Below are 26,378 nucleotides of genomic sequence, written 5' to 3'. Positions count from 1 at the left end.
TCTTTCTCATTGATATGGAATTGAGTTTTGACATGGTTATTGTTAGGCCTGCTGTCCCCCGAGGTGGCTGTGTATTAACTGCCATGGCGCATCCTTTTGCAGCCCCTCTGTGGCTTTCCTTCCAGCCTAATGCACTGGGCTCATTTCGTCATCCTTCATTTCTTTCTAGCATGCAGGCATTCTTCCCTGCTGCTCACAAATGATATTCCGCTCTGACAGCCAGCTGCACCACTTCCTCCAAATCCTTCATGTAAAAACTCGTCTCATCCAAGAAACCTTTACAGAATGAAAATGGTACCTTTCAAGGAAGCCAGTGATGAACTGGAAAACTACTGTCTGACCAGCCCTCGCACTGACTGTCTTCACCATCATACCTCTCTACTACTCAGTGGCACCTCTTCCTAGGTTATACATTGCCCACTTCTCTTTATCTTTTTCCACTTCCCTTACTAACTTTTCAATGACTCTCTAATTGTTGCTCTATCTGAAATTGTATAGATCTTGATTTTCAACTGAATTATATTTACTCACATTTTCCATACAGTGAAGTAAACGTTGATTTTATTGGCTCATTCATGTAAGTAAACGAAAGACAGCCAGATGACTATATTGTTTTAATCAACATTTTTTATCATGTTCATAGTTTCTCTATGGGTCTCCCTCTTATTTCTTTCAATCAACTATATGCTGAGTGCCTGTTCTTTTAGGCACCGTTGCTTTTACATTTATCTTGATTAGCTCAACCAAAAAGGAAAAGCAAGGATCAATTAAGTATTGACACATTTGGGCAAGGGAGATGGCAAATTATATAGCTGATTTTTCTGTTCCTTATAAAATAGAGTGTAACGTTGTTCTAAAATTGTGTGGATTATGTTTTATGGGTTTACATGGAAACATAAACCCTAAATCATGTAAATTTCCATAAGAATGAACTGTGTCTTAGGACATGCTTTCTATGCCTAACAGACTGTGGCTCCCCTGTTCCATCAGTGCAGTCTCCACAGGCAGCAGTTTCTTCAGGATCACCATATCCAAGAGCACTTAGCAGTGGAAATGTGACCTTTATCATGATTCTTCTCCATCTGAAGAAAACAGTTATAAAGCCTGCTGACCAATGTTCTCTTAGAAACTAAATGACAGAGAAATTACAAAGGCCAAAAGAAAATGGTATACACTATCATAAGCTGAATAAAAATTTCAGTGGAACTTTTTTTCTTGGCGAAGTTTGCTTTTCAGTGTCTTACCAGTTTTCTGTGCAGCATATTTGCTGGCTTGGGCTTTTGGGGATTATTACATTATTGCATGATGTAGTATAAGGTGTTTTGGGGGCTCCTGTGCTGTATTTTCACTTTAAATCATCACTCATAGCTTGGTGTTTCATTGTTTACAATGGTGAAGTCAGTAATGACTTTTTGATCATAACAAACATGAAAAGAAATATACTAAGCATTTACATACTGTGCCAGTGCTCTGCACTGGGTTAGGATGGAAGTCCACAGCACTGTTTTTAAAAGCACCTTTCTCACCAGTTCTGCTCTTGCAGAATCCTTAAAGAGCACATTCCTACTGAGTAGGGGAAGGAAAAGGAGGTACCGTTTGTGGGGAAAGGTGAGGGGTCTCTCTGTAGGGTGTGTATCCTTGACAAACCCAGAATGAAGAAACTAGAGGGAAGTCATATTTTCCATCCCCAGTGAGCTTTCAGGCACTTGCAGTCCTCTGGGCCACTGCAGTAGTTTCTCTCCTTCTGATTCAACATTGTTATGTTTTTCACTCAAACATACTTGCATCTTGATGATTCTACTCTCTAAAAAAGAAGAAATGAAGAATTTTGAGACATAAACATTTCAGGGAGGGACAGGTATCAGGCAGACGGTTTAGGAGTGCATAAGTCTTAGAATGTGTAAAATTAGGGCACCAGGTTACAGAGGCAGGGCAGTCAGAGCATATTTCTTTTTTGAATGCAATATACATTAATATTGCATGGACTATTTTCTCCTCTGTCTGTTTTACTGATTTTCGGAAGTAGATTTGCAGTGACCTAGTACCCCAGTTACCTTGTTCTTCTGAAGACATTCTCCAGAGACTGAGGCTGTCTTTTTTCAGTGCTTAACTCAGTTAGCTATGTAGCTTGTGTTGAACTCTTGGAAGTTAGAACATGCCTTACAAAAATGATCCCAGGGCTGTCAGATTCAGTGATTTAAAACACTGTGATAATGCCTCCCTTAAGCTGTTATGCCTATATTGATAAATAATAAAGGAGAAACTAGTATGTTCTAAAACTAATTATATATTCTAATTTTAGCATATATTTGGGGAGTGGAGGGGGGAGAGGGAGAGAGAGAGAGAGAGAGAGAGAGAGAATGGGAGAGAATAAGAGAAAAAGGGAGATAAAGACAGATACTTTTCTTTTTACCATTATTTTGTTCTCTCCCCAATCAATGGCCACTGTGGAAATTCTAAGCCTAGCCTAGAAGTTTCTGGAATTTTTGTTTAAATCACTTCCTTTAAAAGGGAGAGGGGATGGAGAATATATAGGAAGACTTTTCATGTAGTATATATGCATTCTGTCTAACAAAGTGCTCTGTGGGGTGTTTCTGATACTAAGAACATTTAATATTTTCTAGAAAAATATATTTTAAGAGATAAAGGGTTTAATAGGTCTTTTGCTTCTGGTAATCAGGTCATCAGATAAAAAAAGTAATCTAGAGGAGCTTTGTCATGGGCTCCTCCTCTTGGTGATTAACTGATACCTCTGTTATTTTTGTAAAGGAGTGATATTGAATGCACCTGGAAAAAATTATAATAAGGTATGAAATTCAGTCACTAAATATGTCAGGTGTTTGTATGGCTGCTTCAAATGGTGTACTTTTCATTTTATATAGAAATATATTGATATTTACAGAACTTATCTATTGCAAAGTGCCTCCCTCTTAATAATATTTAGTGACTAAATTTTATTTTAACTTAACTGGTTTTTAGATTATGTAAAACATCTCAAAGAAAAAAACTGACACATCAAATATAAATAGCCAACTATAGAACAGTTCTAAAATAATGTTTTACATATTTTTATAATTATATATGAAATCTTTCTCATTTCTCTGAAATTTTCAGTGACATTCTGCCCTCCTAAGCTCTCTTTTGTATTATGGAAGCTGAAAGTCTGCAGACTCCATTTTTCAGATGGCTTTGGAATACTGTGTGCAAAGGCTCAGGTGCATGTTCTTTGTGTAATTGCAGTGGTTTGATGCAGTTAGAACACAAAGGACTGACTTGGGGCTTCAAAAGGAGAAATCATAACAGCAGCACCAGGCACTGTTTTAAGAATTTCACATTTATTAGTTCATTTATTCTTCACAAGTCTTCTTCAACAGACTAGGAAACTATGGCACAAAGATGTTAATGTACTTAAGGTGCCATGTAGAAGACAACAGATGGTTTTGTTTTATGGTGTCAGAATCAAGAAATGCCTTTAAGATGCCATGAAGTTTCTGCATTGAAGAAACCTATAAAACTGTTTTGAAGTGCATAAATGAAGACCCAAATAAATATTGAGAATAACAGGCTTCTCTATGGAAAAATATCAGGTTGTAAATGTTAATATTCCCCAAACTAATCTATACATTCAATTAAATCCCAATCAAAATCTTTTCTGAATTTTAAATGATGCTTTACAAAGAGATTATTATATTGAATTGGACTCATCTGGAAGATAAATTTCATCTGAAAGATAAAATTCTCAAGGATTGCCATAAAACTTTTGAAAAAGAGATTTGGATGGTGACTTTTACTAGAAATACTGAAAAAATACCACAGTAATTAAACCAAAGGGGTAAGAATGCAGGAAGGACGAATGAAACAACTGCAGAAGTCCAAAAATAAGCCCATACACATGACCAATATAACATTTCAGAGAAGAAAAGGTGGATTTTTGAAAAATAATGTTGAAACATCATATTATCCATTTTGAGAAAAATAAGTCACACACTTATGAATACAGAAAAGGCCACGTGGAATAAAATGTTAGTATTTATTATGACAAGATTATAAGAAAATAGTGAAGTTTTCTGTTCATTTTGTTTTGTAATTTCAAGGTAGAAGTGGAGCCTTCTTAAGAATGTACAAATTCAAGAATCCATACAGGAAAAATTAGCCAATCTGAGTTAACGGCACGAAGAGAAAAAAAAACTTACATGTGATTAAAGATGCCATAATTAACATAAACCATGCAGCTGGAGACTAAAAAAATGGCTGAATAAGAACACACCAGACCAACTTTAATGTGATCACCCATCTCTAGCTGCCGCTCAGGGTGCTTTGAAAAGTTTTGTACTGAAGTTACATTGCCCAAGTCAAACAGCCCATTCATTCCCGTTTCTTTACAAACCTCTAACACCCACTCCTTCCTTCTCATTCTCAGCTGATGATCTTCTTATTTCACTGAGAAAATAGAATTAATAAATTAGAACAATTCCTTGTTCTCTGACCAACACATCGACCAGTCCACCTGCTGTGCATTGGATATTTTACTTGTTGCTTCTTCTTATAAATGGATAAAAAATCTGTGCTCTTAGCTAAACTCAGAGTCTTTGCTTGTGCACTGACTCACATAGCTTCCAATCTGCTCGAGAACTTGTTTCTGCAATTGTCTGCTCTCTCTTTGACACCGTTAATCTATTGGCTCATTGTTATTACTATACAAACATCTTAGAAGAACATCTCCCATATTACAAAAATAAAGTAAACCTTCTTATTGCTTTAGAACAATTAAATTGCCCCGAAGAGTTTGGCTGTTCTCTAAGGCAAAATTTCTCTGAAATGGACTTGGTGTGCCCATCTCCTCTGCCATTCTCTCTAGAGACCAATTCACTTAGAATTTTGTCTGCCTTCAGAATTGTTGTACCCGGGAGGCAGAGGTTGCAGTGAGCCGAGATCGCGCCATTGCACTCCAGCCTGGGTTACGGAGTGAGACTCCATCTCAAAAAAAAAAAAAAAAGAATTTTGTGTCTCCCTCCACTAAAATCTTTTTTCTCAGAGTAACCAATGACCTTCGCATTTCCAAATAGAATAGTCTCTTCTAAATCCTCAATTTAAATCTATTTCTTGGTCACTTAATATTTGAGCTTGGAATCCGGTATAAACAATATCTCCTGCCATATTCCACTGGTCAAAGCTATCACAGATCTCAGTCCTAGTTGAAGTCAGAGAAGAAAGGACTACTTGGGGACCATAGGGCTTCAAAAGGATAAATACTAATAGCTACATAATTAACTTTAATTTACTGTGTACCGGGCCCTGTTCTAAATGCTTTCCTTGGCTTTTGGGACCCCACACTTTCCTGTGTTTTCTCCCATCTCACTGCTCATTTCTTCTAAGGCCTCCATGATGGGTCTCCTCCTATTCTTCCCTCATGGACATTGAAGTGCTGTGGTACAGCTTCACCTCCAGGCCTACACTGATTTCTAGAGTTCCATGGCTTTAAATATTGTCTATGCACTGGTGACCCACAGGTTCCTGCCACCTCCTCCACCGCCTCCCCCTTGAACTCCAGACTTCTTCGCATTTCTGCCTAGAAGACAGTGAGAGAGCAAATAGGCTTCTCAAGCTCAACATGTGTGAGGCTCTTCCTTGCTTTTGCTTCAAGTCATCATCTCAGCAAAAGTCACCACCACTCACCTAGTGTTCAGGCCAAACATCTTAGAATGATCTTTTCTCTCTTTCTCCTCATAGTGCATCAACTGTACTTGTCAGCTTTACACTCACAATATATTTGTAATCTGGTGACTTTTTACCACCTTTATTGCCAAAACTCCAGTCTAGTCATCTCTTGCCTGTACTACTGAAATAACCTCCTGTGTAAGGCGATGACTTTCCCTGTGATCTTTCAGCTCCCATTCTTCCCGACACCCCTTGCCACACGTGCACACACCCAGCCTATCTTGCCCAGTGGCCAGCCTGGTCCTTCTCAGATGGAAATCGGATTGCATTACTTCCCTATTCAAAATGCTGAATAGCTTTCATCCTCCAGTGAAGTAAATCTACAGTCCACAATTTACAGGACTGTGGTCCTCTAGCCAAACCAGCCTCCTTGCAAGTTTCTGGAACACAACAGTTATTCCTTCATCTCAGGGCCTTTGCATACACTACATCCTCAGAGTGAAATGTTTTGCCTCCAGATGTCAGCTCATTTTGGCACTCAAATGGCCTCCCTAACTGGCCTATCTAAATAGCACACTTCATCATTGTATGTCACTTACCCAACTCTATTACTCTTTGTAACACTTATAAAACATTACATCTGTCTTTCATTGTTTACTGTATATCTTCCACAATAAACTAAGTCCAAGAGAGTGGGACTCTGTCTTACTCACATCTGTATTCCCGGTATTTAGTAACAATGCCTGGCACAAAGTTTCCAATAAATACCTTTTAAATAAATTAATTAATGAATAAAGGACAAACCACAGACTAGAAAAAAAGTATTTGTGGCATATAGAACAGGCAACAAATTAATATTCAGAATGCAAAGAGCTGCCACAAAACAATAAACACAAAGAGACAATCTAATAAAATTTTTTCTAAAAAGGATTATCAATAGTGAATTCACTGAAGAAGAAACCCAAGTAGTAATAAACACATGAAAATATGCTACAAACTTCACAAATAATCAGAGAAATGTCAATTAAAACAATAAGCTACCACTTTTTTTACTCATAGTGGCAAAATCTAAATGACAACATCCATTGGTGGCCAGTATTTGGATAAATGAACACTATTGTGAAATATTGGTGACAATATAAATAAGCAAAGATTTTAGTTTTGAGGGAGAGCAATTTGGTGTCATGTATTATAATTTTAATAACTTATGCCTCAGTAATTTGACTTCTATGAATCTGAAATTTACAGAGAATATGTGCAAGGCTGTTAACTGCAGCACTGTTTTATTTAATAAAAAACTAGAAATAATCTAAATATTCATTAATAGGAGCAGTGATTAACTTTGAGATGGAGAAAGGGATGAAAATAGGGAATAAAAGAGAATCTTAAAATTTTACTTTATATAATTTTTTTTTTCGCGTTGACAGAGTATGTAAATATTTGTTAATGTCCCACAGCAATTGGAAAATGTTTCAGGGGTGAGAAATATGTAGAGCTCTAGGAGGCCCACTAAATAGCCCTGGAGAGGAGGGAGTTATATGGTTGTCTATCGTTCGATAACAAATTCAAAAACTTAGTATCTTAAAATCTTTTGTTGTATTTCATGATTTCTGGGTCAGAGATGTGAGCAGGGCTCAGTGCGTGATTCTTCTGCTCCACATGGCTCTGCAGGGTCTCCCAGTGGTCTTCAGCTGGTAAGTGGGTTTGTCTGGAAGGCTTGAGATGGTTTATTCACAGATCTGTCACTTTAGGGGCGTGGTTGGAACACTGGGTTAAGCAGAGACTGGCAGCCGGGGAAGCTCTACATGGCCTCTCCAGCATGGTGGTCATGAGGTAGCTGGACTCCTGATGCGGTGGCAGAACTCACAGTCAGGAGGTGAGAGCGAGGAAATGGAAGCCACTAGTGACTTAAGGTTTAGGCTCAGAATTTGGCACAGTGTTAACATTTGCCATGTTTTATTCATCAAAACAGTCATAAAATCCACACATATGCAAGAAGAAGAGTCATGGGCCCTACCTCTCAATGAGAAGAGGGTCAAAAATTTCAGAGCCAATGAAAAGAGTGTCAGGAAGTTAACGCCATCTTTAAATGAACTGCATTGATCAGTCCACGATTCTGCATCTTGCCTAGCTTCCATTTATAGATTACTAGTACTGACCCTAACCATGCCCATTCTTATGTTGGGTAAAACAATGTGTTCTGCTTCATGTAACTGGATAGAGAAGTCTAATAGCGAAGCTGAAGCCTAGCCTGAGGCTGAGTGTAGAGATTAGACTGGAGTTACACATTTGAGAGGCAAAGTGTATGGTGGTAATGAAAATTTCAGGAGTGAAAGATGTCACCCAAAGCACACAGAGATGGTTAAAGATGGATTAAGGCGCATAATAAATTAGCGCATAATAATCACTGCAGTGATTATTTTCTCAATAGCTGGGCTTAGGAAAAGAAAAATTTGACTATTGGTTTGAGCTAGGGAGAAAATCAAGGAGGATTTGAAGGAATGCCAAGAGTGTAGTATTCTCCAGCGGTTTCATACATTGATGTTTATTTTCAACATGTTGTGAACTTCTCAAAGACACATAGAAAACTACAAGTTCCTATGAAGAGGGGGATACAGCAAACCACCATATTGTCCAGTCAAACTAGGGAAGAAGTTGCAACAAAGAGGGAATTGGTGGTCTGAAAGAGACTGAATTTCTCTTCAAAACCCTCTGCTTTGAAGAAATTATAATGAAATTCATGCGAGTTATAGTAGTCAAACAACAAAGAACTCTTTTAATTTAATAGTGAAAGACAATCCCATCCCCAGTTCCACTTCCTTTATCTCTTTTCTTTCTTTTAATTGGCTTTATTTTAAAATTTATTTTATTTTTGAAAATATTTATGAATTATTTTAAGCATTCAGAAAATTAGAGTAATATAAGAAAAACCCATATTGTCATTAAGCTGCATTAACGAATGATAACATTTCTTCATATATGGTTTTACATTTTGATCAGAAATAAAATATTATGGATACACTTAGAGTTGTGTTTATAACTCTAGCATGTTTCATCCACTCCCTCTATTATGATTGTATGTATGTTTTTACTGATCTTTTCTTTTTTTTTTTTTTTTTTTTTGAGATGGAGTCTCACTCTGTTGCCCAGGCTGGAGTGCAGTGGCATGATCTGGCTCGCTGCAACCTCCGCCTCCCGGGTCCAAGCCTCCCGGGTCCAAGTGATTCTCCTGCCTCAGCCTCCCGAGTAGCTGGGATGACAGGCACCCGCCACCACACCTGGCTAATTTTTTGTATTTTTAGTAGAGACAGGGTTTCACCATGTTAGCCAGGATGGTCTTGATCTCCTGACCTCCTGATCCACCCGCCTCAGCCTCCCAAAGTGCTGGGATTACAGGCGTGACCCACCGAGCCCAGCCTTACTGATCATTTGTGATGTGATTATTCTATGTGTACATTCCAATTGGCCCCAAATAGTATTGTTTTGTGTGGTTACATAGTTTACACAAATGGTATGCTGTACATATTGTTCAGGAACTTGTTCTTTTTACACTGTATATTATTATTTTGATATATATCTGTGTCCATAAAAACAGATCAAATGTGTTCATTTTAATACATTCTTAATTGCTTTATAGTCTTCCATTACTTAATTATACTAAAGCATATTTAACTATTCAATTGAAGATAGATAATTGTTTGCAGTTTGAGGATTTTACAAAGATTGCTTCAAAATGCATCTTTCTACATACATCCGTTTATATTTGAGTGGGAGTTCTGAGGTATACATACCTAGAAATAGTCTGATATTGCCAATAAGAATGAAAACTTTCAGTGCAACCTAGCTTAAATGAAAGCATTTTTATTTTACTTAAAAGGAGATTTTAGGGTGGAGTTGGCATTATAGAGTTGGTTTATTCAAGACTCAATAAGGTTGTCAAGGAACCATTCCCTTCCATCTTCCACCCAGTCATCCTGGGTGTGGCTTCTTTTCAGGCTAGTAGTGGAATGATTAAAACATTTGCAAATGTGACATCCAAATAAAAGTGCCCACAAGAAGAGGGAAGGCTGTTTTTCCTAGGACAATCATTTAGGAATTATAATCTTTCTGCAGAATACTCCCAGAAGACCTCCCCTTATAATTTATTAGCTGCAATTGTGTCACTGCCAGTGGCAATATAATCATTTTAGAAAAAAAAATCAACCCCATTCCTAGAACTGGGGGTTATATCTTCTTCCATTGAAACACATAACTGTACTGGGGAAGGAATGGCTAGGCAAACAAAATCAGCTTTCTATAAAAAAGGTACGGGATTGAGAAAAGATACTAGTAGGCATCCAACGGTATCCAATGCTCAAACGTCCTAGCTTTACTAGGCGTTGCCAAATTGTACTTCAAAGTATGGATACCAATTTAAACTCCCACTCCTAATATCTGAGAGTTCCTATCAAACATCCTCACCAACATTTGGTAAATTTAGGTATCACATTATTGCCAGTTTTATAAAGTATGAAATGTTTCATTTTTGCTTTACTTTTCCTGATTACTTTTCATGGTTTTGGATGTTCCCTTTTTTTCCATGAATTTTCTTTTCATTCCATTTGGCCAGCCACTTTTCCATCTAGTAGTCTTTTTTTCTTAGCGATTTGTAGGAAACCTTTTTATTTCTGTACGCTATTCCTTTGTCAATATAGATTACAAGTATCTTCCCTCAATCTGTTTTTTCTCTTTTAACTTTGTTTATGTGAACAGAAAATTCCAAAGTTGTTGGAGACCAAGGTTAGGGAGGAAGAAAGATAAAAGCATAGCAGGTATAGTAGGATCCAGGAATATCAAAATTTAAATGTTTGAAAGTGGGTCATTCTGTGTACAGTAGAAGACCAAGACTTGGGAAGTAAACTGCTGAGATAGAAAGGAGAATTATATGGGATGGTCAATGAACTGTGAGACTGGGTATCTAATTTGCTGAGCACCTACAATGTGCCAGTTTCTGTTTTAAGTGCTTTAGATGTACTAGTCAACTTAACCTTTGCAAAAATTCTGTGAGATAAGTGCTGTTATTACATCCCAGATCTGCAGATAAGGAAACTGAGGCATAGAGTAATGTGGTAACAGGCACAGACAGAGTAGATAATGTTTTCCAAGACACCCAGTAGGTAAGAGGTTGATTATACTTTCAACTCATTAAGCTGGTTCCAAAGCCTATGTTCTTAACTTCTGTATATATAGTCTCTCATGTCTCATGTTTGCTGTTATGTTGGCAAGATTTGGGAGAGAGAAACACAGAAAGAGTTGTCAAAGGCTTCTCCTGTATATAAGCAGTTGGCAATGTGAATTTAGTTGTTTTTTATAGAATTTATATTCTCATGTTAAAATATGTTGGAAAAATAAGCATGTGAATTCCAAAGTTCTTCTTTGATTCAAAACCAGTTACTTTTCCCCCTTTCACCCTCCCTCCCTCTCTCCCTCCTTTTCTTCTTTGCTGTGTTCACACTATTTAAATATGCTTTACAAGTTTTCAGTATTAAACTCTATTATCATAGCCATTTTGCCTAGTATCATAAGCACAATCCATTAGCAACTTCAGATGTGAACACAACCAATTGACTTAAGTAATCATGAAATAGATAATTCTTTGTTTAAGTATGACACTCTGTCCTTTCATCTTTAGGTCTTTTACTATCCTCATTTGGATTCAGAAAAGTGAAGGAAACATTAAAAGCCTCTGAGTTTTCAATGTCTCCTGTAAACAGCATTCCCTCTTCATATAATAAAGGAATATTTTTTCATTTTTACCTTTATCCCCCAGTAAAAAATAATATTATGATATTTTTAGATCTAAAACCCCAAAATCACCATAAGGACAATGGGACTTGAAACTAACAACTAGGCGATGGCAGCATCCTTTAGCCTGAGAGCTGGTGTAAGCAGAGACAGCAAGACTCAGAATGCCAAGGACATCAGACGGGTTTGGCTTTTCTATGTTCAGCCTATCTGTCTAAAATCACAGTTGTCACAGTCACTCACTGGTCTTTACACACATTCTCAGTCTGAGTGAAAAATTGCCACATATGGGTAAAGCGAAGAAAAGCAGCTGTATCACTTGTATCAGGAAGGTGTATATTATTCTCAATTAAGAGACACCAGGAATTACTTTCAAATGCCACTTCTCCAATATATCTGAAAGGACTCTCAGGAGATCAAGTTCACTGATGAGGATAATGATCTTGCCAACCTGAGCCATGTCCCTCGGTTCCAGTGCTAGAGGACTGTTTTCAAACTAACAGAGTGGGAGTAACTAATCAGGAAGGTTTGAACTAGACATCTTCCCCTGGGATAGCTAAACAAAAATAGAGGATAATGAGGCTGAATCAGTTTTGTTGCGGGGAACAATTGTAATATCTTCTATCACTCATTGTCAAAATATTCCCATTATGTAAAGAAATATGTGATTTGCTTCTATCAGATAATTGCTTAGTTGTTCCGTTGCCTTTTTCTTCTCCTCTAAACAGATTTTAAATTTTGTTAAGGGTAAGGATTATGGCTTGTATTATATTTCATTTGTATACACACCACTACTCCCTTCTACCTGTTCTTCCCACTGTCGCGAATAATTGCCCCGTCTGCTTTCTGTAACCCAGACTTCTCTTTACCCTAAGTCTGAGTGCAGACAGACTCCATCAAGAACAGATTGATAATTACTCCCTAGGCATTGTTTAGTAAACAGGTTATCAGAATTGGCCCCCTGGTATTTTAGTGACTATTGACAGATTTCTAACTTCAGAAGTTAAAACCAAAATGCAATTCTCCAGAAAAGCTTAACACACAGACCGCCCCCCCACCCCCACCAAACACACACACGGATGCACACAGAAAGAGAAGATAATAAAGTCTGAAATAATTCAATTCACTTTTAAGAGTTTGTTAAAGCTTTAGTGTGTGATAGACATTGTGCTAGGGGCTGTCAGTGATACAGAATTGAATTATACCTGGCTTGGACCTGTAGGAATCCACCCCCTGGTAAAGAAGACAGACAGGGACATAAACAACTCCAAGATGAGACAGTCTGTAGTAAACACAACCCTGGAAAAATGAATAAAAGATAAGACTGTCAATTATATACATAACTGCAGAGTTATTAAATCACTATGTCTACATAGTAAGCTATATAAATAGGCATTTCAACTAGACCATCCCGCTTTCCACACGTAGGAGTCAACACAGATCCATGTACTGGTTGGCTTTTCTTCTAAAATTATCACTTTGAAGTGTGTGTTTTTTTTTTTGTCTGTTTGTGCGACGTAGTCAAGATACTCAAGATGAGTTATGTAATGTGGTTTTCTAAGTTGATCTGAAAATTGTACTATCTTTCCTGCTAAATTAGCATCTCTCTTTCAGAATGTCTTTGTTACTAGTTTTTCATTCTCAATCCTTCCACAATTCTCCCTGCTTTTTTCAGTTTTTAACAGTTTCTTCCCTTCATTCTATTGTTCCATTTCCTTCTTGTCCACTGTATCCTGTATCGGTGGTATTATTGCAGACACAATTCTTTAAAATTATTATCCAAATGATGGGAGAGGTAATTTTCTTTTGAAGAGAAAATATTACCAGGAGGACAATAATCTCCATCAAAATAATATCTACCATTCTGGAGAATGCTAGTTCTTAGAAGAAGGAGCAAGTGCATATTTTCCTTTTGAGCTTTCCATGGCTCTATTAACAAAACTGCTGGTCTTTCCGTATAATGAACAGTTGGCTAAGGCAAGAGCAGACATGAACTAACTACTTTTGACCAGTGGAATTTTGGGCATGTGGTAGAAATCAAAACTTACTCACTGACTGGTAAGTGAACTCCTCTGGTAAGAGAAACATAGTAAGAGTATGTAAACACCCACTATTTCAGATTGTAGTCAATTACCTAATACCTTATTCATATGTAGTTTCTTACTTGATCCCAATTGCAAGACTGTGAGACAGTCTAGGTCTGGAATTTCCACTTTTCACAGAGAAAAAGGCTGAGATCCAACAACATAAAGTGATATTATAGCTGTCTCTGAGCAACTGGCACAAGGGTCCTGGTCCTTGGACTGAAATCCATTGCTGTTTAAACCTAACATCTAACCATCAGTTCTTTTTTTCTTTTTTCTTTTGTTTTTTTTTTTTTGAGATGGAGTCTTGCTCAGTCGCCCAGGCTGGAGTGCAGTGGCTCACTGCAAGCTCTGCCTCCCGGGTTCACGCCATTCTCATGCCTCAGCCTCCCGAGTAGCTGGGACTACAGGCGCCTGCCGCCATGCCCAGCTAATTTTTTGTCTTTTTAGTAGAGACAGGGTTTCACCTTGTTAGCCAGGATGGACTCGATCTCCTGACCTCATGATCCGCCCACCTCGGCCTCCCAAAGTGCTGGGATTACAGGCGTGAGCCACCATGCCTGGCCCTCCCCAATCAGTTCTAATGTTTAGAACTTGAGGGAGATATGTTGTAGTCATTAAAAAAAATTTTTTTTAATGTTGGTTACATTGGTATATATATTTAAGAATTACATGAGATATTTTGATATAGGCATGCAATGTGTAATAATCATGAAGCGGCATCACTGGGGTAAATACCCAGGCTTTGTCATCTCATGCCAAGAGGATTAAAGACATGGACACGTGGGTGGGTTAAATAATGGAAAGTTTAATAGGCAGAAGAAAGGAGAGAAGAGAGCAGCTCTCTCTCTCGTGAGAGATAGGAGTCTGAAAAAGGGAAAAGTGGCAGACTGCAACCTATTTTATAGGCAGGCTTGAGGACGTGATGTCTGATTTATGTAGGGCTCACAGATTGGTTTGACCAGGCATGATGTTTACATAGTGCCCAGGGAAGGCTGTTCGCCCTACCCTGATCTTATTATGCAAATGGGCTTTCCACTTGTCTGCTCCTTACTGTACACGTGGCTAGCAAAAGAGAAGATAAAGCTGCCATTTTGAACTTGCCTAGTCCCAGGCAGTATATTCCTATGGGCACAACTGCTGGCATTAACCCATGCAAGCTTCCAGCTTGCTTGTTTATGTCTGAAGCTCGATTTTACAGGATGTTCTTTGTTAGAAAAGAAAATAATTTTGGAGCTGCTTTTCATTAAAAGGAAAACCTTACTGAGGACTTCCATACTCTTACTATCTGCCTAAGTAACTTCTTTTTAATTCCTGCATCAATCACATCAGGGTAAATAGGGTATTCATCACCTCATCCATTTATCCTTTGTGTTTAAAACTATCCAATTACACTCCTCTTGCTATTTTAAAATGCGCAATTAAATTATTTTTTACTGTAGTCACCCTGTTATGCCAGCAAACACTAGATCCCATTTATTCTATTTTTTGTACCCTTTAACCACCTTCCCTTTCCTCACAGCCCACTCACCCTTCCCAGCCTCTGGTAGTTATCCTCCTACTATCTCTGTAAATTCAATTGTTTTAATTTTTAGCTCCCACAGATAAGTGAGAACATGCAATGTCTGTCCTTCTGTGCCTTATTTCACTTAACATAATGACCTCCATTTCCAACTATGTTGTTGCAAACGACAGCCTCCCATTCTTTTTATGGCTGAATAGCACTCCATTTTATATATGTACCACATTTTCTTTATCCATTCATCTGTTGATGAACACTTAGGATGCTTACAAATCTTGGCTATTGTGAATAGTCTTTGATATACTGATTTCCTTTCTTTTAGGTTTATACCTAGCAGAGGGATTGTTGGATCATATGGTACCTCTATTTTTAGCTTTTTGAGGACCCTCTAAACTGTTCTTCAAAGTGACTGTAATAATTTACATTTCCACCAACAGTATCCGAGGGCTCCCCTTTCTCCACATCCTTGCCAGCATTGGTTATTGTCTGTCTTTTGGATAAATGCCATTTTAACTGGGGTGAGGCGATATCTCATTGTAGTTTTGATTGCAATTCTGTGATGATCAATGATGTTGAGCATCTTCTCATATACCTGTTGCTGTTTGTATGGCTCCTTTGAGCAATGTCTATTCAGGTATTTGCCCATTTTTTAATCAGATTATTAGATTTTTTCCTATAGAGATGTTTGAGCTCCTTATATATTCTGGTTATTAATCCCTTGTCTTATAGGTAGTTGCAAATATTTTTCCCACTCTGGGGGTTGTTTCTTCATTTTGTTGATTGTTTCTTTTGCTGTACAGAAGCTTTTGAACTTGATGTGATCCTATTTGTCCATTTCTGGTTTGTTTTTTGTTGTAGTTGTTGTTGTTTTGTCTGTTCCTGTCGGTATTGCTCAAGAAGTCTTTGCCCATTCCAATGTCCTGGAGAGTTTCCACAATGTTTTCTTGTAGTAGTTTCATAGTTTGATGTCTTAGATTTAAGTATTTAATCCATTTTTATTTGATTTTTGTGTAAGGTGAGAGGTGTCTAGTTTCATTCTTCTGCGTATGAATACCCCGTTTTCCCAGCACCATTTATTGTAGAGACTGTCCTTTCCCCAATGTATGTTCTTAGAATCTTTGTCAAAAATAAGTTCACTGTAGATGTGTGAGTTTACGAGTATATTTATGGGCTCTTTATTCTGTTCTACTGGTCTATGTGTCTGTTTTTATGCCAGCACCATGTTATTATTGTTAATATAGCTCTGTAGTATAATTTCAAGTCAGGTAATGTGATTCCTCCAGTTTTGTTCTTCCTGCTTAGGATAGCTTTGGCTATTCTGAGTCTTTTGTAGTTCCATATAAACTTTAGGATTTTTTTTTTGTGAAGAATGTCATTGACATTTTGATAGGAATTGTATTAAACCTATAGATTGCTTTGGGTAGTATGGACATTTTAACAATATTGATTCTTCCAATCCATGAACATGGAATGTTTTGCCATTTTTGTGTTTCGTCTTTGATTTATTGCATCAGTGTTATGTGGTTTACATTGTACAGATATTTCATTTCTTTGGTTAAGCTAATTTCTAGGCATTTTATTTTATTTGTAGCTATGATAAATGAAGTTATTGTCTTAATTTCTTTTTCAGATTGCCCATTGTTAGCATGTAAAAATGCTACTAACTTTTGTATGTTGATTTTGTATCCTGGAACTTTACAAATTGTTTGTCAGTTCTAATAGTTTTGGGGTTTTTTGGTGGAGTCTTTAAGTTTTTCCATATATAAGATCATATCATCTGCAAACAAGGATAATTTGAGTTCCACCTTTCCAGTTTGGATGCCCTTTATTTTTTCTCTTGTCTAATTGCTCTAGCTGGGGTTTCCAGTACCATATGGAATAATTATGGTGACAGACGACATCTTTGTTGTGTTCCAGATCTTAGAGAAAAGGCTTTCATTTGTCCCCCATTCAGTATGATGCTAGCTGTGTATCATAGGACACACAAAAGTTGTATAGGACTTTTATTATGTTTAGGTATGTTCCCTCAATACCAGTTTTTTTCAGGGTTTTTATCATGAAGGGATGTTGAATTTTATCAAATGCTTTTTCAGCATTAATTGAAATGGTCATATGGTTTTTGTCTTTTATTCTGTTAATATGATGTATCATATTGATTGATTTGCATATGCTGAACCATTCTTGCATCCCTGGGATAAATCCCACTTGGTTCTGATGAGTGGTCTTTTTAATGTGTTGTTGAATTCAGTCTGCTAGTATTCTGTAGAGAATTTTTGCATTAATATTCATCTGTGATATTGGCCTGTAGTTCCTATTTATTCATGTGTGTTTGTCTGGTTTTCATATCAGGGTAATAGAGGCCTCGTAGAATAAGTTTGGAAGTATTCCCTTTTCCACCACTTTTAGAAATAGTTTCAATAGAATTGGTATTTGTTCTTTTTTAAAGGTTTGGTCATTTAAAGTCAGCTCATAGGCTTTTTTTTTTTTTAAATTACTGGAAGCCTTTTGATTACAACTTAGCTCTTGTTACTTGTTATTGGTCTGTTCATGTTTCGAATTTCTTCCTGGTTCAATCTTGGTATGTGTCTAGGAATTTGTTCATTTCTTCTAGATCTTCAAATTATTGGCAGATAGTAGCCATAGTAGCCCCTAATGATCCTGTGAATTTCTGCGGTATATGCTGTAATGTCCCATTTTTTACCTGGGATTTTATTTATTTGAATCTTCTTTCTCTTTTTCTGAGTTAGTCTGGCTAAAGGTTTGTCAATTTTATTTAGTTTTTCAAAAAAAACACAACTTTTTAAATTGTTCTCTTCGTTTCTATTTCATTTATTTCTTCTCTGATCTTTATTACTTATTTTATTCCACTAATGTTGAGTTTGGTTTGCTCTTGCTTTTCCAGCGCTTTAAGATGCATCATTAGGTTGTTTGGGAGTTTGATGATTAAATGCCTTGAGATACTCTTATTTGGGTTAAATTTGCTTGATGTTCTATAACCTTCTTGTTCTTGGATCCTCATATTGTTCTTTAGGTTTAAGAAGTTCTCTGTTATTATTCCTTTGAATAAACTTTCTACCCCTATCTCTTTCTCTACCTCCTCTTTCAGGGCGATAACTCTTAGATTTTCCCTTTGAGGCTATTTTCTTGATCCTATAGGTGTGCGTCATTGTTTTTTATTCTTTTTTTCTCTGGTTTCCTGACTATGTATTTCAAAATAGCCTATCTTCACACTAATTCTTCTGTTTGATCAATTCTGTTATTGAAAGACTCTGATGCATTCTTCAATATGTCAGCTGCATTTTTCAGCTCCAGAATTTTTGCTTGATTCTGTTTAATTATTTCCATGCCTTTGTTACATTTATCTCATAGAATTATGAACTTTTTCTCTCTGTTATCTTGAATTTCTTTGAGTTTCCTCAAAACAGCTATTTTGAATTCCCTGTTTGAAAGTTCATATACCTCGATTTCTTCAGGATTGGTCCCTGGTGACGTATTTTGTTCATTTTGTGAGGTCATGTTTTCCTGAATGTCCTTGATACTTGTGCATGTTCTTTTGTGTCTAGGCATTGAAGACTTAGGTATTTATCATAGCCTTCACAGTTTAGGCTTGTTTGTACCTGCCTTTCTTAGGAAGACTTTCCAGGTATTTGAAAAGACTTGGGTGTGGTGATCTAAGCTGCATCTGCATTAGGGGGCACCTCAAGCCCAGTAACACTGTGGTTCTTGCAGACTTGTAGAGGTATTGCCTTATGGTCTTGACATAATCTGGGAGAATTCTTTAGATTATTATGCAGAGCCTCATGTTCTCTTCCCTTACTTTATCCCACACCTGGAGCTTTGGGTTAAGAAATATAAGCACCCCTGTGGGTACAACCACTATGACTGCACTGAGTCAGACCTGAAGTTAGCACAACACTGGATCTCACCCAAGGCCTGCTGTAACCACTCCCTGGCTATCACCTGTGTTTGCTCAAGGCTCTGGGGTTCCACAACCAGCAGATAGTGAAGCCTGACAAGCTTGTGTCCTTCTTTTCAGGTGGCAAGTTACCCCAGGCTCTGGGCATGTCCTGAGATGCCATCCAGGAGCCAGGGACTACATTAAAAAACCTTAGAAATTTACCTGGTGTTCTATTGTACTGTAGCTGAGCTGGCACACAAACCCCAAGATGTGGTCCTTCTCACTCTTTCATCCCCTTTCCAAAGCTAGAGGAGCCTCACCCCATGGCTACAGCCCACCACAGGCACATAGGGAGTACTGCCAAGCCACCTCCACTGTTTCCTTAAGACTCAAGGGCTCTTAAGTCAGGTTGGGATGAAAGCTTCCCGGTCTGGGACAAACCTTTCAAGGCAATGGGCTCCCCTTTGGTCCAGGACATGTCCAGAAATGTTATCCAAGAACCAAGGCCTGGAATCAGGGACCCCAAGGGCCTGCTTTGTACTGTACCTCCCTGTGGTAGAGCTGGTTCCTAAGGTGCAAGACAAAGGCCCTTTAATTTTCCCTCTGGTTTTCTCAAGCAAAAGGAATCTTTCCCTGTACTCAACATAGCTGTGAATGTGCTGATTCTCACCTGAAGCCAGAAAGTCTCCCTCAAGGCCCATGACATACTGCCTGTGTATTAGACTCACCCAAGTCTCATAATGTGCTACCTGTGTATTACTGCTGCTTATTCAGGGACCAAAGCCTCTTCAGTGCCAGTGATGAATCCTGCCAGGACTGAGTTCTTCTCTTCAAGGCAGTGGGTTCCCTTCTGGCCCAGGGTACATCTAGAAATGTCCTCCAGGAGATAGAGACTGGAAAGGGGCCTCACAATGCTGACCAGTGCCTTATCCTGCTGTGACTGAGCTGGTATCCAAGATGTAAGACAATGTCCTCCCCACTCTTTCCTCTCCTCTCCTCAAGTAGAAGGAAAATGTCTCTTTTGGAGTCACAAGCTCCAAAAGAGGTTGCATGCCCCTCTAGTGCACTGGCTCTGAGACCAGTTCAGCACTAGGACTCACCCAGGAGTTACAGTCCTTAAGATCCAGATTTCCTTTCAAACTTACTTACGGCCCCAGATCACTCCAGTCTGAGGTGGCCAGGGTTATAGAAACTGGAGTTCTGACCACTGGGATAAGCAATTCTCTTCTGGATAGGGCTGGTTTAGATACTCCTTCTGTGGGTGGGCATCTGGTGACTTTGGTCCGGTTTTACTTACTGCTATAATAGAGCAGCACTGAGTCCAGTGCAATGTCTCACAATTGCTGCACTCTTCCTCTCATAAGCACATAGATTCTTTCTCTGTGACAAGCAGCTGCTGCCAGGAAATGGAAGAGGAATGGCATTAGCAACTCAAGACTGCTTTGCCTATCTCTTCAGTGCCTCTTTCAGCACTATTAAAGTTTAAACCAGGTACTGTTAAAACCAGGTACTGTGAATGCTCACCTGATTTTTGGTCCCTATGAAGGTGCTTTTCTAAAATGTAGATAGTTGTTAAATTGGTGTCCTTGAAGCGGGGATGATTGGTGGAGCATTCTATTCTGCCATCTTGCTCTGCCTCTGAGCCCTCCATGTCTTAGTCATTTTAAATTCATTTGATAATACCTCGATCTTTGACTCTAAAATGATCACGATTTAAAATAATAATGAGAAACTCAAATTTACCTTTTTTCCCATTTCTTCATTCAAAACATGCTCACTGATTTTGATGAGGAGAAAAATACTATAATTTTGGTTTGGCTTGTAGTGGTTATGCTTCACCAACTGAGCATGAGATGGAAGTTCAAGAAACATCAGTGGAGGAAGGGGAGTTCACCTCATTAATAAAAGCAATTAGTGCATCGCCAGCTGAGCAGCCAGCTAGCCCAGGGTGTTCTCGGTGCACCACAGGCATCTTAGTGCCGTTTGTTAACTGGGCGAGCTAGTCTTGGCAGGAATCTAAATTTTGTCATTGATTTTAATTGTCCTCTCCACTTTTCAAACTCCCAACTTCCAGCCAATTATGCTTAAGGGAAGAGTGGATTCTTTGGAGAGGACTTCCACTGTGTCTAACCCTCTGATATGGCAAAAAAAGAAAAGCCTAAAATCAAAGTAGTACACTTAATTTCTTGAAAATTTCCATGCCCAGTGACTTATTTTGAGTAAATTATGTTTTCTGGGAAGTCAACAGTGAAACAATAGTACAACATTGATATCTTTTGCTATATCCTTTAAAATGAAAGTCCTAGAATAGCAATCCCATTGTAGGTGGAAAGATGTGGAGGTTCCCCATGAGATTAAGAGTGGGATCCCTCAGTTACCGAGACCAAAAACATCCACCCTGTTGGAGAGCTTCCAACATTTCTTGGTCCTTACATAACTTCCTCATTATTTGGAAAAGCAGGGTTTGTTCAGCTTTTTCAGATATCAAGGAGAAGATATACTCCAGTTTCTTTTTTCAAGGACAGGTTCACAAATACATATGGGAATAGAAAGGGAGAGAAATATGTCATATCTGTCATAAATCCAGTCCTCCTAAGCAGTGGGAACATCAGTCATTGCTATCCAGAACACAGCAGTAGCTCTAGTTAGCCTGCAACACTGCAAATGACATAACAACCACTCCAGTTGCTCAGAACTCAGTTCTCCTCTCCTTTTTGTTTATTTTGTTTCGGCTAATGAGTAACTGACTACTACTCTTTTTTCTCTGGCTCTTGAATGCAGCTTCTACTTTCTTTTTGTTTCTTCCTTTCTGTCATCTCTGTGAGTCTCAACTCTCCTATGCAATTGTAGTGAATTTTGTCATTTTTCTGACAGTGCATTATCTCTTCACAACTCTCCTTCCTAATCCCCCTTATAAACACTTCTTGATTCTGTGTCACCGTGGGAGAAATAATGCCTCATTTCCACTGCAGAAGTTAGGTCCTGGTTCCTTTCTCTTTCTGCCTTTGAGGACTCAGGAGGTGAGCACTGACTTAGATTTTGTTAATATGGCTCTTTTTTCTAAGACTTCAAATCTTGAGCAAATGATACAAGAATTCGTAGATGGTTAGAAGGCTATTCATCTCAACAGCAGTCACATGTGCAGTATATATTGCTCTTGTTCCTTGACTCCTGTTTATCTTCCAGACTCTCTGCATTTCCTATATATCTATATTTCCTCTGTGCCTCTTAGAGATATTGGTCCCATAAGTTCCTCTCCCCCCTTTTTTTTGTAAAACATTACAATGTCAAGTTCATGAGGCTGGGAAATTTTTCTACTTTATTCACTGTGAGTATTTAGTACTTCAAGCAATGCCTAGTACAGAGTAGGTGCTCAATAAATGTTTATTAAATGACTAAATTAAAAAATGAAATGTCAATTTCTGTTGCTAACTATCAAGTTTCCATGCTGCAATGCAAGAAGAAGAACTCAAGCAGAGCCAAGTAGGTTGCTTCTGCTTGAAGTGCTCCCTAATGCAGATGCAGTTTAGATCACCACACCCAAAGACTTGGCTGAGTTGAGACTAAGATTGAAACTTAAGAAAACCAAGATTATTAAAATTTGTGGGGTACAGTATTGGAGAGGAGGAAGCTACGTAGAGCAAAGGCTACACAGACCTGCAAGAAATGTTCTTGAATCTTTGAGCAAACCTTTTCAGTGCATGCCTGGAATGAAACTCTACAAGGCTGGAGAAAGGAGCTAGAAAAGAAGTAGGTTGAAAAATTCCCCAGGCTCACACATATTTTCCCCCATCACTCAGACTGAAGAGACCTTGTACTACATAGGGTATTGGATAGTATCTTTAGAAAGCTCTCTTTTCATAGTTAGGCTAAGTTATACCTAGAATAAAGGTTGCTCAGAACTAATCCTGACAAAACTTAAACACAAGCCTTGAAAGGATTAAATAGACTTGCAAGTAACTTAACCATATGCCAGAAATTCAACTCTTTAATGGGATCAGAAAAATTCAATGTAAAAAATGATAAATTTCAGTGTCTGGCACAAAAAAATTGTTAGGCATAAAAGAAAGCAGGAAAATATGACCTTTAATCAAGAAAATCAATAGAAAGAAACAAAGAACATAGTTGAATTAGTAGACAGGGACCTTAAAATACCTATTATAAATATGCTTAAGTATTTAAAGGTAAGCATAAATGATAAGAAAGATTAAAAATTTTTAAAAGATCCAAGTTAAACTTCTAGGGATTGAAAGCACAACGTGATAAAATAAAAAATACATTAGAAGCGATTAACAGCAGATTAGACACACAAAGAAAAGATCAGTAAACTTGAATACAATAGAAACTAACCAAAATGAAGTAGCACAATTTTTTAAAGACACTTAAAAAGAACAAACTTCAGGACCTGTGAGACACCATTGGTCACTCTAATAAATGTGCAATTCAATTAAGGGAGTGAGAGATAGAGATAGAAAGACAGAGAAAGAGAGAAGTTGAGACCAAAAAACACTTGAAGAAATAACAAGTCAAAACATGTAAAATTTGATGAAAACTGTAAATCCATGATCAAAGAAGCTCTATAAGCCACAAATAAAATAAACATTAATAAACCTACACCAAGACACATTATTATGACATTATTGAAAATGAGTAATTAAAATATTTAAAGCAACCAGAAAGACATAATACATTATATCCAGAAAAAGAACAATTTATAGTAGATATCTCATCTGAAAACATGTTATCCAAAAAGACAATGAAGTAACACCTTTTTAGTATTGAAAGACATTATCAACCTGCAATTCTATATGCAATAGAGGTGGCTTTGAAAAATAAATGTTAAATCAAGTTTCTTCCAGACAGGCAAAAGCTTAGAGAATTTATTGCCAGCAGTCTTGCATTACAAGAAATATTAAAGAATTGGGAGGCCAAGGTGGATGGAACACCTGAGGTCAGGAGTTCAAGATCAGCCTGGCCAACATGGTGAAACCCCATCTCTACAAAAATACTATTAGCCGGGCATGATGGGAAGTGCCTGTAATCTCAGCTACTTGGGAGGCTGGGGTGGAATAATCTCTTGAACCCCAGGAAGCAGAGATTGCAATGAGCCGAGATCATGCCATTGCACTCCAGCCTGGGTGACAGAGCAAGACTCCATCTCAAAACAAAAACAAAAACAAAAACAAAACAAATGTTAAAGAAAATGATTTAGGATGAAATTAAAAGTTATCAAGTGAAAACTTGAATCTATATGGTGAAATGAAGAGCATCAGAAAAGTCAAATATGTAAATATGTTTTTTTCCATTTTTAGTATTTTTAAAAGATGAATCACAATTCAAAACTAATAACAATATATTTGGGGTTTACAGCATATGCACAAGTAAAATTCATAAGAACAATAACAGAATCAAGACAAAACATAACAAAAAGTAGAAGAGTGGAATAAAAGTATACTGTTGAAAAGTTCCTGAATTATACATTATTCAGTATAATAGTGCTTGAAGATAGACTATAACAACTTAAAAATTTATATTATAAATCTCACAGAAACCACAAAATAATGAAACAAAAAATATAAATTAAAAGTCAGTAGTAGAGGTACAATGGTATGGCTTTTAAAAGTATAAGATAATTTTTTAGTTCTCTTCCATAAAAGGCACCAAATGATGAAAAAGAAAACCAAAGACAGATGGAAAAAATATAAGGAAAATAGCAAAATGGTAGCTTTAAATCCAATATATTGATAATTACATTAAATGTACATGGGTTACAACAACAATTAAAAATATCAATTGATTAGATTGCATTAAGAGAAAAAACTCAGCTAAATATTGTTTACAAGAAGTCTACCATTTACAAGAAACCCATTTTAAATATGTAGTCACCAATAAGTTAGAAAATGCAAAAAGATAGACCGTTCACACACTAATTAAATAAATGCTAAAGTTTCAAAAGTAATGTCAGACCAAAAGGAATTCAGATCAAAGGTGAATAATGAAGGAATAAAGAAGGATACTTAAAGGAGTTGATCCAACAAGAAGACCTAACAATACTGCATAAGCACCTAAATACAGAACTTCAAAATAGATAAAACAAAAGCTAATTGAAAGTAGAAGAGAAATTAAAAATTCAATTTTATTTAGATATTTCAACAGTCATTACTCAGTAATTTGGGGAAGAGGGAGCAAAATATCACTAAAGAAATAGAAGACTTAAGCAACATTGTTATGAAGTTTAACTCATTCACAATGGACTTCATCCAACAACAGAAAAATACACATTCTTTTCAAGTACATATGGGATAACCACTAAGATAGACCATATTCTGGCTCATAAAACAAGTTTCAATAGATTTAAAAGAATTCAAGTCTTCCTATGTATTTCTATGACCACAAAAGAACTAAACTAAAAATTAATAACAGAAAGAGGAATATTCTAAATAATGTGTCACCAAATCTACAACTTAGATTAAATGAACCAACTCCTTGAAAGATGCAAACTATCAGAGCTCACTCAAGAGGAAATAGATAACTTCAATTGCCATGTATCTATTAAATATATTGAATTCATAGTTTAAAATATTTCCATAAAGAAAACAATAGGTCAGATGTCTTCACTGGTGAATTCCATAAACATTTAAGAAATAAATAGGACCAATTATGTACAAATTATTTCTTTATATATATGGATAGAAACAATTTCCAACCCATTTTATGAGTCCACAATTATTCTAACACCAAAATCAGAAAAGACATTGTAAGAAAAAATAAAACTACAGATCAATATCCCTCATCAATATGGACTCAGATATTTATTTACAAAATATTAGCAAATCAAATCTAGCAATATATAAAAGGTGTAGTACACCATAAAAATATGGCAGAAAAAATATACCAAAAAGGTAGTTTGCTTAACATTGCAAAATCAGTAAATGTAACTCACTTGATTAACAGATTATAATAGAAAATATATATGCATGTTAGCTGGGTGCAGTGGCTCACGCCTATAATCCCAGCTCTTTGGGAGGCCAAGGAGGGCAGATCACCTGAGGTCAGGAGTTCAAGACCAGCCTAGCTAACATGGCAAAACCCCGTCTCTACTAAAAATACAAAAATTAGCTGGGCGTGGTGGCGGATTCCTGTAATCCTAGCTACCCGGGAGGCTGAGGCAGGAGAATCGCTTGAACCCGGGAGGCAGAGGTTGCAGTGAGCTGAGATTGCACCATTGCACTCCAGCCTGGGTGACAAGAGTGAAACTCCATCTCAAAAACAAAACAAACAAACAATAAAACAAAAGAAAAGGAAAGAAAATATATATGCATGTTAACAGAATAAAAACTAAAAATTATATTGTCATCCTAATAGATGCAGAAAGTATTTGAAAAAAGTCAACACACACTTATGAAGAAAACCCTGAGCAATCTAGAAACAG

At 37.2% G+C, this 26,378-nt stretch overlaps 1 long non-coding RNA gene across 1 annotated transcript; it reads right to left on the bottom strand.

The window, feature by feature from the left end:
* Positions 1-539: 539 nt before the first annotated feature.
* Positions 540-12,741, bottom strand: LOC124903154 (uncharacterized). The gene is made up of 2 exons (XR_007063755.1): positions 12,648-12,741; positions 540-1,804 (listed from the first exon to the last, which is right to left on the bottom strand). It is a non-coding gene; the product is annotated as an uncharacterized LOC124903154 (long non-coding RNA).
* Between the last annotated feature and the right edge of the window lie 13,637 nt (positions 12,742-26,378).

This window comes from Homo sapiens, chromosome 13 (genome assembly GCF_000001405.40).
Source record: "Homo sapiens chromosome 13, GRCh38.p14 Primary Assembly".
Lineage (NCBI taxonomy): Eukaryota > Metazoa > Chordata > Mammalia > Primates > Hominidae > Homo > Homo sapiens.
This window is presented reverse-complemented; position numbering and strand designations above follow the sequence as displayed.